At 40.5% G+C, this 14,362-nt stretch overlaps 1 protein-coding gene and 1 pseudogene across 1 annotated transcript in view, besides 3 other annotated features; one reads left to right on the top strand and one right to left on the bottom strand.

Moving 5' to 3' along the window:
• Positions 2,597–2,736: an enhancer, noted in NCBI's record as "active region_12653". NCBI's record gives its function as "activates an Ori minimal core promoter by ATAC-STARR-seq in GM12878 lymphoblastoid cells {active_cell/tissue: GM12878}" and the evidence as "EXISTENCE:reporter gene assay evidence [ECO:0000049][PMID:35858748]".
• Positions 2,817–3,196: a silencer, noted in NCBI's record as "silent region_8906". NCBI's record gives its function as "represses an Ori minimal core promoter by ATAC-STARR-seq in GM12878 lymphoblastoid cells {active_cell/tissue: GM12878}" and the evidence as "EXISTENCE:reporter gene assay evidence [ECO:0000049][PMID:35858748]".
• ABCA5 (ATP binding cassette subfamily A member 5) overlaps positions 3,103–14,362 on the top strand; it is an 82,823-nt gene continuing 71,563 nt past the window's right edge. Inside the window, exon 1 of the mRNA NM_172232.4 lies at positions 3,103–3,184. The gene's annotated coding sequence lies outside the window, so the exon portion shown is untranslated. The remainder of the gene's footprint in view (positions 3,185–14,362) is intronic.
• Positions 3,327–3,416: a silencer, noted in NCBI's record as "silent region_8905". NCBI's record gives its function as "represses an Ori minimal core promoter by ATAC-STARR-seq in GM12878 lymphoblastoid cells {active_cell/tissue: GM12878}" and the evidence as "EXISTENCE:reporter gene assay evidence [ECO:0000049][PMID:35858748]".
• Positions 11,109–11,546, bottom strand: SNRPGP4 (small nuclear ribonucleoprotein polypeptide G pseudogene 4; annotated as a pseudogene).

The raw sequence follows: 14,362 nt of genomic DNA, 5'->3' as shown, positions 1-14,362 counted from the left end.
TCTTACAACTGCATTACATCTGTATTAGTCTGTTCTCAGGCAGCTATAAGTACATACCCAAGATTAGGGAATTTATAAAGAAAAGAGGTTTAATTGACTCACAGTTTCACATGGTGAGGGAAGCCTCAGGAAACTTACAATCATGGTAGAAGGCACCTCTTCACAGGGCAGCAGGAGAGAGAATGAGTGCCGAGTGAAGGGGGAAGCCCCTTATAAAACCATCAGATCTTGTAAGAACTCACCCTCTATCATGAGAACAGCATGGGGAAAACTGTCCCCAGGATTCAATTGTCTCCTCCTGGTCACCTTTGACATGTGGGAAGTATTACAATTAAAGGTGAGATTTGGTTGGAGACACAGAGCCAAACAATATCACCATCATAATTTTGTCATTCATCCTATAAGGGGAATTTGATATCTTCCCTTTTATGAGTAGGTAGCCCTTGTTGAGTGGGTGGTGACATTTTGTGGGGGAAATGAAAATATTTGAATATTCTTGCTTATTATATGTGTTTTCTCATTGGAAGCATTAATAATATTTACTGTATACTATGATGCATAGGACTTGGAAATTTAAATCGGTATAAGAAGAAGCTTTCGCCTGGGTGCTATGGCTCAGGCCCGTAATCCCAGTACTTTTGGAGGCCAAGGACAGAGAATCACTTGAGCCCAGGAGCTTGATACCAGCCTAGGCAACATGGAAAAACCCTGTCTCTACAACAAAATACAAAAACTAGCCTGTGTGGTGGCATGCACCTGTAGTCCCAGCTACTTAGGAGGCTGAGATGGAAGGATCACTTGGACCTGGGAGGTAGAGGTTGCAGTGAGCTGTGATCATGGCACTGCACTCCAGCCTGGGTGACAGAGCAAAACTTTGTCACAAAAATAAAGAAAGAAAGAAAAGAAAAGAAAAAGACAAGTCAAGAAAAAGCTCTTAACCTAAGACTATTTACAATTTAATTGAAGAGATGGTAAGTAAATAAAATGATGTGAACAAGATGGTAGTATGTAGGCAATTGGGAGGAGAGTGAGATCATTTTGTCCAGGGTGATGAGATTTTTGGAGAATTGGGTTTTGGTCATGTCATTTAGAAACAAGAGTAAAAGCATGAGCAGACAGAATGAATGACAGAGAACATTACAAGGATAAGAAATGTAAGAAATAAATGCCTAGAATAGTAGTAGAAATGAGTAGACTTCTGAAGTTAAGGCAGGTTAAGGCTACTAGTGAGAAGTGTTGGGGTGAAAGTATGGTTCAGTAACATGTTAACCAAGTTTATCTTTCATGTATATTTCTTTACTTGGCCCCAAATCCTAGGCCATTGAGAATTTGTAACTAAAATGTTCTAGATGTTTCCAAAAGAGACAGAATATATCAGGGATAGTTTTCATTACATGCCTTCTTTAGTTTCCTGGTGTAGTTTTTTGAATATACTTATCTCCCTTTCCCCCATCCCCATTGCTAGATCTTTTAATCCAGGGGTCCCCAATCCCCAGGCCAGAGACTGCTACCGGGATCTGTGGCCTGCGAGGAACCAAGCAGCACAGCAGGAGGTGAGCGGAGGGCAAGTGAGTGCAGCTTTATCTGTATTTACAGGGGCCCCCCATGGCTGGCATTAGGGCCTGAACTCCGTTTCCTGTCAGATCAGCAGTGGCATTAGATTGTGATAGGAGCGAGAACCCTATTGTGAACTGCGCATGTGAGGGATTTAGGTTGCGTGCTCCTTATGAGAATCTAATGCCTGATGATCTGTCACTGTCTCCCATCACCCCCAGATGAGACTGTCTAGTTGCAAGAAAACAAGCTCATGGCTCCCACTGATTCTACATTATGGTGAGTTGTATAATTATTTCATTACATATTACAGTGTAGTAACAGTAGAAATAAAGTGCACAGTAAATATAATGTGCTTGAATCATCCCCAAACCATCCTCCCTCCCCCAGAAAAAACTGTCTTCCATGAAACTGGTCCCTGGTGCCCAAAAGGTTGGGGACCGCTGTTTTAATCATCAAGGATTCTGACGAACCTCTTTGAATTTTCTATTTAATTCATATTCCATAAGTAAAACTTGATTCCTTGTTTGTTTGTTTTTCCCCTAAGAATTTAGAAAGCAGAGTGCATGTTGGGGAGACCTGGTTTAAATTCGAGAAGCAGATAACACAAAGACAAGTAAAAAAAAAAAACATGATGTACACAGGATTGACAGAATAAAAAAAAAGTCTTTGTGCAAGGGAATGTGACTATACAGAAATGTGGAGAGGAAAATACGTAATGTTAGTGTTAATAACTTTTGACCCCATTTAGGTCACTTTGAGTAATGAAGCTCAAAACACTAGATTATATTTTTAGCAAAGTAAGTGCAGTATCCAGTCTCTCACAGATGTCATGTGTCTCAGGCCGTTTGGAAAATTCAGCATCTGCCGCATTCCCAGTCTTTGATGAGGACACTCCGCGAACTACAAGCACCCTCAGTGGGAGGACCTCCCAGGTCGGGGTGTGAGGGCCAATGAGGAGGCTGGGGAGGGGAGGCAAGAGTTACGGAAACGGGGCCACAGCACTCCAGATGCCGCGGCGGGAGGAAGCGGGGCTGCAGAGGACTCAAAACGCGTTCAGAGAGGCCCATCCAAATGCCAGGAGACAGACGGCAAGGATGCTTAAGAGGAGACGTGACTGGGCGAGGCAGATGAGGAGAGGGCCGTGGGCCAAGGTCACCCGCTAAGAGGCGGCAGGTTTACCACTGAGACACGAGGCCGTGGTTTTTGCCCGTGCCTCCAGAAAGAGCGTGGCGAGATCCCCGCAGAACCCAGGCGTGGGAGGCCCTGGGGAAGAGCCACGAGGCCCGACTCTAGTGGCTCAGGGGCCCTGGGCAGCGGCGCGCCACCGCTCGCCCCACCCTCAGCCGCTCTCCTCTTCCGGGCGCGCTGCTTGCCTGCGTGCGCCGGGACGCGCGGGGCCGAGCGTCTGAAGCGCGCCCGTACGCGGAGCGGCGCTTTCTAGGAGCCCCGCCCTCAGGTGCGCTCTGCAGGAGGCGGGGCGCGACTTCGGCGCCGCCAGCTCTGCCTGCGCCAGGAGCGCGCGGGTGCGCGCGGCCGCGCCCTCGCACAGATCCCAGCTGGGTCACCCGCACTGAGTCAACAGACTGAGCGCGTCCAGGCCTGACAGCTCTGCGGCTCGGGCCCTGAGGTGAGGCGGGCGTCGCGGGCGGCGGCGGCGCTTGAGGCTAGCCTGGGACAGCCGTCCCTGGGGGAGTTGAGGGGACGAGGAGGGGCTGGCCAGCGAGGGACGGCGGGGAGAGAAGGGGAGTTCGGCGTCTGAGGTGTGGGGTGAAGCGGGCTCGGAAGCGGGCAGAGGCGGCGAGCTGAGGGAAACAGACCTCCCTCAGCTCCCGGGAAGCGCGGGTTGCCAGCCTCGGGGATGCGGTGGGAGCGCCCAGGATGCGGACGTGAGGGGGTCGGGGCCCTGCGGCGGGGGCTCCGCGAGGCTCCCCTGGGACCGGGTCCGGCCGTGGGACTTCGGGACACTGCCTTTGCCTGGACGCTGTCGTTCCACCCTCAGCAACCTCAGGGAAAGAAGGAAAACAAATATTGATGTAAATTTCCGTCTGAACAGCTGGGTAATGAGCGCTTGCTCTTCCCTGCGAGGTTACGCGCGGATCATTACCTTGCGTGTTAAAAGGAGTTTCAGTGAGAAGAAAATGCGCAGATCTCATGACACAGTTTGGGAGGGAAATTCCCTGATCCTAAAACACGAATAGGAGCTCCAGGCATGGAAATACTTAATTGGATCGGAAAGCTGGGCAGGCTGGAGCTATTAAGCTGAAGGAGGTTTTCCCCTGGGCTCCTCAGGCTTCGATTTACGTTTTAAATAAATAAGTCCGAAAATAATGAAGATAATAACCACGTTTACTTTCTACAAGGGCGTTCTGAAGGAATCTAAGGGAAGAGGAGTATTTGCTGGACTACAGCTTTAAGCCAGGCTCGGTATTAGCTCTTTTCATTCTGACAGCAACCCTGTAGGATTGGAGGGGGTTATTCCAGTTGGGCAGGTGTGGAGAATGGGCCTCAAAGAGGTTAAGTAACTTATTAAGGTCTCAGCTAGTAAAAGGATGGAGTTGAGATTCCAACCCGGGCTGCCAGACCCTAATTCTGGTGCTTTATTTAGTATATTTTGTGTTTGCCGGGAGAGCAATATTGTATGTGTTTTAGGGAAGACTCCATAGTAGGGAACATTATTAGGGCAGTTAGGGCTTTGTGGGTATTTGTGTTAAAATCAAACTAAAGAGGCGTTAATCTTTGCATATGTGCTGTTTGAGTATATTTCCTTTCAAACAGATTTAGTGTAGGGAAATCTTACATTCACTATAAGAGCAAATTTATTAGTACATTCCATGTGTATTGCATGTCTTTTATTTTTAAAGAGACAGCGTCTCGGGCTAGAGTGCAGTGGTGCGATCAAAGTTCACTGCAGCCTTGAACGTCTGGACTCTAGGGACCCTGCTGAATAGCTGGGGCTACAGGCGTGTGTCACTGCGCCCAGGTAATTTTTTATTTGTTTTTCAGAGACGAAGTCTTGCTATATTGCCCAGGCTGGTTTGTTGCATGTCTTTTACATTCCAGATACCATACTATGTGCCAAGAGTACCGATATGAATACAATTTATAATCTCTGTCCTTGAGTTTAGTTGAGAGGGTGATTGCATAAAAGAATTTTATGATATTGTACTAAGTCATAACTTTTCTAGTATGTAAATTAGTTGGATTAAAAATAGTTTTAAGGGCAAGCTTTTAAGGACCTATTATGCATAAGAAAATTTATTGGATGACTTGTCCTCTGTGTACCATTGCATTGTTATTTTCTCCCTCAGCAAGAAACACTGTGATAAAATTTAGGTTAAATTATATTGACAACTAGCATTTTTTTTTTTTTGAGACAGGGTCTCATTCTGTCACCCAGGATGAAGTGCAGTGGCAGGATCTTGGCTCACTGCAGCCTTGACTTCGCAGGCTCAAGTGATCCTCCCACCTCAGCCTCCCAAGTAGCTGGGACCACAGTTGTGTGCCCCTACGCCTGGCTATTTTTTTTTTTTTTTTTTTGGTAGAGACAGTGTCTCTCTATGTTGCCCAGGTTGATCTTGAACTCTTGGGCTCAAGCCTTCCTCCCACTGGGATTGCCACGTGAGCCACTGCACCTGACTGCATTTTGTTTTATTATTGCACCACCTTACAGTAAATTTTAAAGCAATAAAGAAGATGAGAGCATTTATAATTTATCCCTTTTTAAGCTAAAAGGCATATTTTGTAGTGCTTTTATTTCATTGATTGAGAAGCAAATGATGTAGCTAGGCAGGAGTTTGTTTCATGTGCCAGATATGTTCCTAATTTCTCATTCCAAAAATATCTTAGTTTAAAAGTGTAGCTAATACCAGATTGCATTTAATTTCTTGTGTTTCAGAGTTGTAATGAAATCAGTCTTCAGTTTAGGCTGAAATGGCACATTGTTGAAATGTATAACATTACTTTGTGGTGGATTTTGGAAATCTCTTTTAATTGCTTCAGTTTTCTCAGTAAAGTAGGATTCAAGGTCATAATCTGAGGGTGATCCTACAGATGGAAGCTTTGGAGATTTGGGGATTGGGAAAGTGATGGACTAGTGGAATATGTGATTGCTAGGAAATTAAACATGACTCACAGTTGTGAAAAGTACAGTAGAGGAAAGATATGAGTGCACAAATTAGGGTGTCTAATTTTGGATACCAGAAACTTCATAATCCATTCCCAATGCCTGCCTTTACCGTGTTATCTAGAACATACATCTGCACCCCTTGCTCCGGTTCACTTTGCCTTATGCCTCTGCCATATGGCAGGTATCCCTGTTCTTCACAAAAGTCAAGCCCTTTTGTTTGGGAGTCTAGCTTTACCATTCTTTTCTTTCTGCCTGGAAATTCCATTCCACTCCTTTCCAGGCTCTTTCTCTCTTATCACATTATATTAAATTTTATCTCTCTGCAAAGTTAGTGACAGTGTCTAACTTTATTTTTTTTGCCTCATAATGTTGGATGCATAAATCCTTCAGTAAATGTTAAGTGAATATGCCACTTTTCTCACTTCCCCTCTTCTTCCTTTTTACAGGAGTTGACCAACGTTTTTTGTAAAGTGCCAGATAGTAAATATTTTAGGTTTGCAGACAGTATGGTCTCTGTCTCAATAACTTTACTGTTGTAGCACAAAAGCAGTCATAGATAATACATAAATGAATGAGCATGGCTGTGTTCCAATAACACTGTATTTATAGACACTGAAATTTGAATTTCATATAATTTTTGCATGTCACAAGATATTATTATTATTTTTCAACCTTTTAAAAATGCAGAAGCAGTGTTCCTCATGGGCTGTGCCAAACAGACTGAGGGTTGGATTTAGCCCCCACCTCTTTCATCATAGTTTGCACATCCTTGATCTTTAAGGACTCTCAGGAAGCCTTGATAAAGGAATCTGTGGTAAGATGATACTGGGTTTAATATTTCCATTGGTGGTGGAGAAACAAAGATAAATAAGACTGTTGTTTTTTTCATCAAGGATCTCATGGTCAAGTTCAAGATGAAAATATATAAATAAATAATGGTGACAGGGTATAGTTACTGCAGTTACAGTTATGTTTACTGGGTATAGAGGTAAAACAAAGGAGTGATAATCAGCTCCATGTCAATGTTAATAATGACATTTAGGCAATATGATTAAAAATTGAGTTTATTTGAGCATAAAACTTGAGGATGGTCACACAGGAGGACACAGACTCCTGAAGGATGAGGTAAATGCTCCAAAGTGGAGAGGTTTGAGGGTCCTTTACATAGGCAAGGCCTGGGGATGCTTAACAGGGTTACATCATTTTTCGTACGAGGTTAGTGCATAGTTAGAGCAATTCAATTAGTTATAGGCAGTGTTTCTTTTTGGGGGAAGGGTATATTTAACATTTCACATTAAGGATGTAATGGTCAAAGGGTCTTTTATCACAGTCAGCGGTCTTTTATCCCTGGCATCATCTGGTGTGATCTAGGAACAAGAAAATAAGGAAGGAATTTCATGTATAACAAAAGGTCAGTAATTAAGAGGTCAAGCTTCATGACCCAGTCTCCAAAGTCAACCTTCAGTGCCGAACAACGTTTAGAAGCCCCAAGTAGACAGACTATCCATTTTCTGTTACATCTGCTTAGGTGGATGAGAAGTAACCTCTAACAGTCATTTGTTGGAGGTAGGGAATGTATTTTCAGCTAGCCTTTCTGGAAATCTTTTAAGGATGCTAAGAAGGTGACCACGTTTCTTATCAGGATGGCTCTAAACATCAGGATGACTCAACTTATTTATTTTATAGGGTATAATCTTAATTTGTTTCTCACAGAAATAAACATGGATATGTTTTTAATCAGGTCTCTATGAAAATAATTTAAAAAATTTAAAGTTATTTTACCTGCTACATAATAAATGGATTGTTTATTCCACAGGTATTTAGTACCTCCTCTGCTGTGCAGTGAGTTGTTTTACTAGCTGAAAATATTTGAAGGAGATAATGGTATCATTAGATAAGTGATGGATTTTGCGGGGGAGGTGGGGGAAGAGAGAGGCTCTTCTAAGGAAAGCACTGCTTTTAACAAAGGCAGTAGGTATAATAGTAGAACTACCTTAGATTTTAAAAAATACTTTATAGCTTTCAAATTTCTTATTTTAATTAATTAAATTCATGCATCCTAAATAATTTTTCTCTAACAATTATTTCTAAAGGTTATGTACATTTTTATTACTTTTAGTGATGTGGAATATGTTTCGTAGGACTTGGAACGTAGTAACCAGCACTTTTTTTTTTTTTTTTTTTTTTTTGAGACGGAATCTTGCTCTGTTGCCAGGCTGGATTGGCACAGTGTCAGCTGACTGCAACTTTCACCTCCCGGGTTCGAGTGATTCTCCTGCCTCAGCCTCCTGAGTAGCTGGGATTACAGGTGCCCGCCACCACACCCAGCTAATTTTTGTATTTTTAGTAGAGACAGGGTTTCACCATGTTGGCCGGGATAGTTTCTGTCTCCTGACCTCGTGATCTTCCCGCCTCAGCCTCCCAAAGTGCTGGGATTACAGGCGTGAACCACTGTGCCTGGCCGTAGTAACCAGTACTTTAAGATAAATTAAGAAGTGAATTTTTGATATTGAACTTTGGATTATGCAACTCCTGGTCTTTAAGTCAATTAATACATTAGAAAAGGAAGATGGGCTTTAGTAGGCTTTCCATTTTCTTGCAACTTATTGGATTTAGTATAAATTATTTTATCTAGTAAATTATTTATCTAGGAAAGTTAAATTTGATTAAATCTTTAGAGATGTTAGGTGTTTAAAACTCACCTAATTATTATTTAAAGCCCTACAACAAACTTAGCACATTTCTCAGGTATGCTGTGGAAGTATGGAAAATAACTTTTTTTTTTTAGATTTTGAACCCGTATTTCTCTTTGTGCCACTGTTTTTTAACAGCTAAGAATTGGCTTTGTTAAAGAGTGTTTTAAAGTATTTCATTGGTAAGATTTTGAGTTGGAACCATACAAATTCTGCTTTGGTCTTGTATTAACTCAGCTGCTAGTGAGTGAACTCCTAGATATTGCCATTTAGAGGCAATTAAACTTAAACAGTTAAACTTGAGGCAGGCCATGCATCTTTTTACTGCGTTTTTCTCTTATTCTTCCAAAAACCATCACATAAAGCTATAAAATTTTGGAATTCTAGTATAGAAAGAGGAAATGTATAGCTCCATGCTAAATACGGGGTTTCTTGTATCCCAAGAAAAGGCACCTGATAAGTCAAACCCTTCATAGATGTCCCCTTTTTGGTCATGCCTCATTTGTAACTTTGCAGCCCTGTTTTCAGATATATGCTTCTGTCAGGAACACCGCTTTCATGTCACCTCTGCTGTGTGGATCTCCACCTTTCTTTCTGGAAACCTCATTCTTTCATCCACAAGAGTTGTTCCCATCTCAAGATATTAACCCTTTAGTTTTGGGTGTTCGTCAATATAGAAAAGTACTGCCTTCCCACATTCTTCCTTCATCCCAGTTTTCCCACCCTAACTCCCTGTTAGGCTAGTCAGTATTGTCCTTTGGGATTCCAGACCCTGCAAAACAGTGGAGGATGTGGTGAAGAGAGGGGCCTTTGTGATTACCATATCAGTGAGAGTTGTAATCACCCCTTTTTTTATTCTATCTTGTTTCTCTGTCTTCTCCCCAAAGGACAGGTATAATCTCTCGACCAATTGTCGAGAGACAATGTGGTCTCGACACCTGAAAAGGAAGCCAAATATTTTCCCCAGCACCTCATCATTTGCAAAGAATTTATAGGGTAGAGTTAGTGTTTACATTATTATGCAGACCAGTCCTTGCTTATTTATTCGCCATATCCCTTTTCAAATTGGGCCTGCTTAGACACTGTGGACTGGCAGGTTGGAGGATGCAGCAGGCAAAGAGGAGGGTGAATAGGTACGTTGTTGGGTTAGTTTACAAAGACCTGACTATAGCTTTGAAGTTTCTGTTTTAGATCAACGTTAAAGTTTAAAGGTTTATGAAGAATTAATGTTAAGAATGTTTCATTCTTTTCAATCAAACAGCTAAACCATGTATTTCATACTATGAAGAAAACCAGTGATCAGATGGGCTTAAGAGATTTTTTTTTTGTTTCAATAACTTGAATTGAAGCTCAAGATTATTGAAAGTTAATATTTTCATATGATTAGACTAAAGCTTTTGAGTATAAGAAAAATCAGATTGTTGAGGTCATTCATAATACTGAGTCATTGGTATAATTTGATGACAGAGTTAATACTTTCATCATTTTTTTCTCTCTGTCCTTTTGCAATTCATTCTGTAGGGTTTCTTTGACTCACGCTTCAATTTAGCTCACTAATTCGTCTTTAAATGAAGTTCACCCCATCTTTTAGTGCTTTTTTATTTCTATCAGTTTTTTATTTCATTTCTAAGTTCTGTAATTGCTTTTTTCTTAATTATCTTTCTCTTGTTCCAAGAATATGATATTCTCTATTACTCTTTTAAGGATATTAGTTATACTTTTATACACAATCGTGATCAATGTGTATAATTAGTTGCCATGTACAAGCCACCATTTTCAGCTTTTCATGTATTAATTCTTTTAGTCATTTTAACAACCCAAAGAGGTAGGTACTACTATTGTTGTATTTTACAGATAATAAAACTTAGGCGCAAAAACATTAAATAACTTGCCCAAGGTCTTGAAGTTAGTATGTAGCAGAGGCAGGATTCATGTTTAGTTGGTTTGGCTTCAGAGGTCATACTCTTAACCTATACTACTTTGGGCATTATTAGTTCTTATGTTTGTTAATTTTGGTGCCTTTGTAATATTGGTTAAGATGCTTTTTTGCAAGAAATAGAATCTGATACTGGTTAGCTTAAGTGAAAATGAAAATATATTGGGAAGATAATAGGACATTTCACATACTCCAAGGAAGAAAAATCGAGTTGTGAGCACAGTAGGTGTGGTACATTAGAAGAAAGCTTAGAGTAAGAATGTGTAAACTTTCTTTCTTAAATGTTGCCATTCATGTAATTCAGTTTCCTTGACTTCCATCCAGTCTGTGGGTCTCTTAGTTAATTCTGCCAAGAGAAATTTTAACTGACACAGCTCAAGAGTAGTGGTGGTGGTGGTGATGGTTTGTGTGCGTTGGGATGGTGTTTGGGGAGTTGGTTTAGTTTTGCTTTAAAAAGCTGTGATGAGAGGTGGAGTGGGTGGGCAGGTTTTTTAGACAAGGCCCTTAGAGACTCAACCTTGAGTTCAGGAAGCAGTTCTCAAAAAAACAAAAAATTCTGTGAATCCATCTACTCTATGAGTCTGTTATATAAAAATGAAGAGTTAAGCATCCAACATTCAAAGTGGATTAATAATTTAGTAGCATTCACAAAATCAATGTGTTTTGGCAAGTAACTTGAGAATGTTCATGCTGCATTAGGTTAGTGTTTCTATGTTTGTATTGTAGCAAATAATGCTTGAATGAGTACAGCTTTCTTCCTTCCTTCCCTCCTATTATCAACTCTTTGCTAAATGTGATATAACATAGTTGAGACTGTTAGAAGAATTTATTTATTGACCATTACAGAAGTTTATTTAACAGAGTCTAATATGAAAATATACATGACTTAATTTTTACATCATAGTAAAACAGGCCCTTTTGAGAGGGAGACATGGGTTTTTCTGCTGAACAGCCATTATTTATACTTGTTCCAAGGCTTCTAACATGATGATGCCATTACATCGCATTACCACCATTCCAATATTGTTCTGTTGCCCACTAGTTGCCATCTCCACACATTAATCTATCACAAGATTCATAAAGGGATCAAATCCCCACAATATTCCTTGGACATGTCTGCCACCATTTAATTTTCAATGATAACTTTTTGTCCATCAATTTTTTCAACTCGGGAGTGTAAGCTTTGCTCATGGTGTCTACTCCACAGGTTCACAGATGCCTTGGAATGGAATGCTGGAAGAATTTATTTTAATGTATCTTCTATTCTTGACTGCTTTTGTTTTGCTGTTTTTAATTTACTCATTTAGTATTTTTACAGTATGTCTAATTGTTTAATTGCTTTTTTTTTACTATGTAAGTAATACATAGAAAAAAAGCATGAAGAAAATAAAAGTTGTCTTTAATTCCATTGCTAATTTAAACAGTTCTTTCCAGTCTTCCTTCTGTGCATATAAAGAAGATGCTCATTTAAGCCAAACTTTAATTATATATATTTACTGGAAAAGACAAACTGCCTCTCAAAAATTATGGACCAGGCACGGTGGCTCACTCCTGTAATCCCAGCACTTTGGGAGGCAAAGGCAGATGGATCACCTGAGGTCAGAAGTTTGAGACCAGTCTGACCAACATGGTGAAATCCCATCTCTACTAAAAATACAAAAATTAGCTGAGCATGGTGGCAGGCGCCTGTAATCCCAGTTACTTGGGAGGCTGAGGTTGGAGAATTGCTTGAACCCAGGAGCCGAGACTGTGCCATTGCACTCCAGCCTGGACAAAAGAGTGAGACTCCATCTCAAAAAAAAAAAAAAATTGTGAGTTTTCTTTATTTAGGTGTAGACAGTCTTCCAGCTTGCAACAGATGGTCCTTGTTTTGGAGGAGAGTTATAGCAGTGGCCTCACTAGATAGGTTTATTTAAAACAAGGGCACAGCAATTTCTCTGGAAGGTTTAACAGGATTTTTTTGTTGTTGTTGTTATTTCCCCTGCTATCTTCTCAATACTTCTTAGTATGCAGAGATCCTAGGTTACTGGGTTGAGTGTATTTGAATAGGGGCAGTGGACATTGCAGTTGAGACTCTGACCACTTCTATTTTGAGTTCAGCTGGAATGAAACCTCTGAAGAATCGAGATAGCTCCAATAGAGGTCCACAGGCAGAAAGGATTTCAAGGATCTTCAAAGGGTAAATGTACCCTGGAAGAGGGATACTGGACCTGTGATAGGTACAATGATTTAGATCATTCAATGTTATTTTTTGAAGTAATTTATTAAGGTAAAATTTATTTCCAAGGTAAAACTCCTTACCTTGTAAGCAGTTTCTCCTCATTCTTTACTCTCCCTGGCCTCTGACAATCACCAGTTGGCATTCTGTCCCTACATTTATCTTTTCTGGAAGTTTCCTATAAAGGGAATCATATAACATTTGACATTTTTAGTCTGACTTTCACTTGACATAACGTTTTGTATGTTCATTTTAATTGTAGCATATAGCAGTACTTCATTCCTTTTTTTTTTTTTTTTTTTTTTTGAGACAGAGTCTTGCTCTGATGCCCAGGCTGGAATGCAGTGGTGCAATCTCAGCTCACTGCAACCTCTGCCTCCCAGATTTAAGCAATTCTGCCTCGGCTTCCTGAGTAGCTGGAGTTACAGGAACGTACCACCATGCCCAGCTAATTTTTGTATATTTTTTTTTAGTAGAGACGGGGTTTTGCCATGTTGGCCAAGCTGGTCTCAAACCCCTGACCTCAAGTGATCCACCCGCCTTGGCTTCCCAAAGTGCTGGGAATACAGGCATGAGCCACTGCACCTAGCCACTTCATTCCTTTCTATGGCTGAATAATAATTGTATGTATATGCCACAGTTTGTTCATTTATCTGTCGGTAAGTATTTGGGCTGTTTCTACCTTTCTGCTATTCTGAATAGCACTACTGTGAACGTGTGTGAACATGTACTCAATTGAGTCCTTATGTTCATTTCTTTTGGGTGTATACCTAGGAGTGGAATTGTGAGGTCATATAGTAAAACTGTTTTTCTCAGCATCTGAACCATTTGCTTTCCCGCCAGTAATGTATTCCACTTTCTCCGCAGTTTCTTATGAGAAGTCTGCTCTCATTCAAATTGTTACTCTCTGTAGGTAATACATCATTGTTCTCTGACTGCTTTCAAGATTTTTTGTTGTCTTAATTTTCAGCAGTCTAATTATAATGTGTATAGGCATGGATTTTCTTTATGTTTTCTGGGCTTCACCAACTTTCTTGAAACTTATGTGTTTATATCCCTTGCTAAATTGGAAGTTTTCAGCCATTAAGTCTTTAATTTTTTTTTTTTTTTTTTAGCATTAATACTCTTTCTCCTCTCCTTTTATAAATCTGATAATATGAAAGTTAGACTTTTTGTTATTGTCCTATAGTTTTCTTTTTTCTTCTTTTTTTTTTTCTTTGAGACAGGGCCTCACTTTGTCACCCAGGTTGGGGTGCAGTGGAACAATCTGGGCTCACTGCAACCTCCTCCTACTGGGTTCAAGCGATTCTTTTGCCTCCCCAGTAGCTGGGATTACAGGCGCCCACCACCACACCTGGCTAATTTTTGTATTTTTAGTAGAGATGGGGTTTTACCATGTTGGCCAGGCTGGTCTTGAACTCCTGACCTCAGGTGATCTGTCTGCCTTGGCCTCCCAAAGTGTTGGGATTATGGGCGTAAGCCAGTGTGCCCAGACTGTCTCACAGTTTTCTGAAGCACTGTTAATTTTTTAAAAATCTTTTTTCTCTCTGTTGTTCAGATTGGATAATGCCTATTGATAATCTTCAAGTTTCCTGACTTTTTTTCTGTTGTGTTCATTCTGATTTTGAGCCACTCCATGAGTTTTATTTATTATTGTGTTTTTCTGTTCTAAAGTTTCCATTTGTATTTATTTCTTATTGTGTTTTTGTGTTCTAAAATTTCCATTTGATTCTGCTTAATGTCTTGTTTCTTTGCTAAGATTTTCTATTTTTCATTGCTTTCAAGAGTACTTTCGATTGTTTGCTGAAGCCCTTAAATAGCTGCTTTAAAAG

This window comes from Homo sapiens, chromosome 17 (genome assembly GCF_000001405.40).
Source record: "Homo sapiens chromosome 17, GRCh38.p14 Primary Assembly".
In the NCBI taxonomy this organism is placed as follows: Eukaryota; Metazoa; Chordata; class Mammalia; order Primates; family Hominidae; genus Homo; species Homo sapiens.
This window is presented reverse-complemented; position numbering and strand designations above follow the sequence as displayed.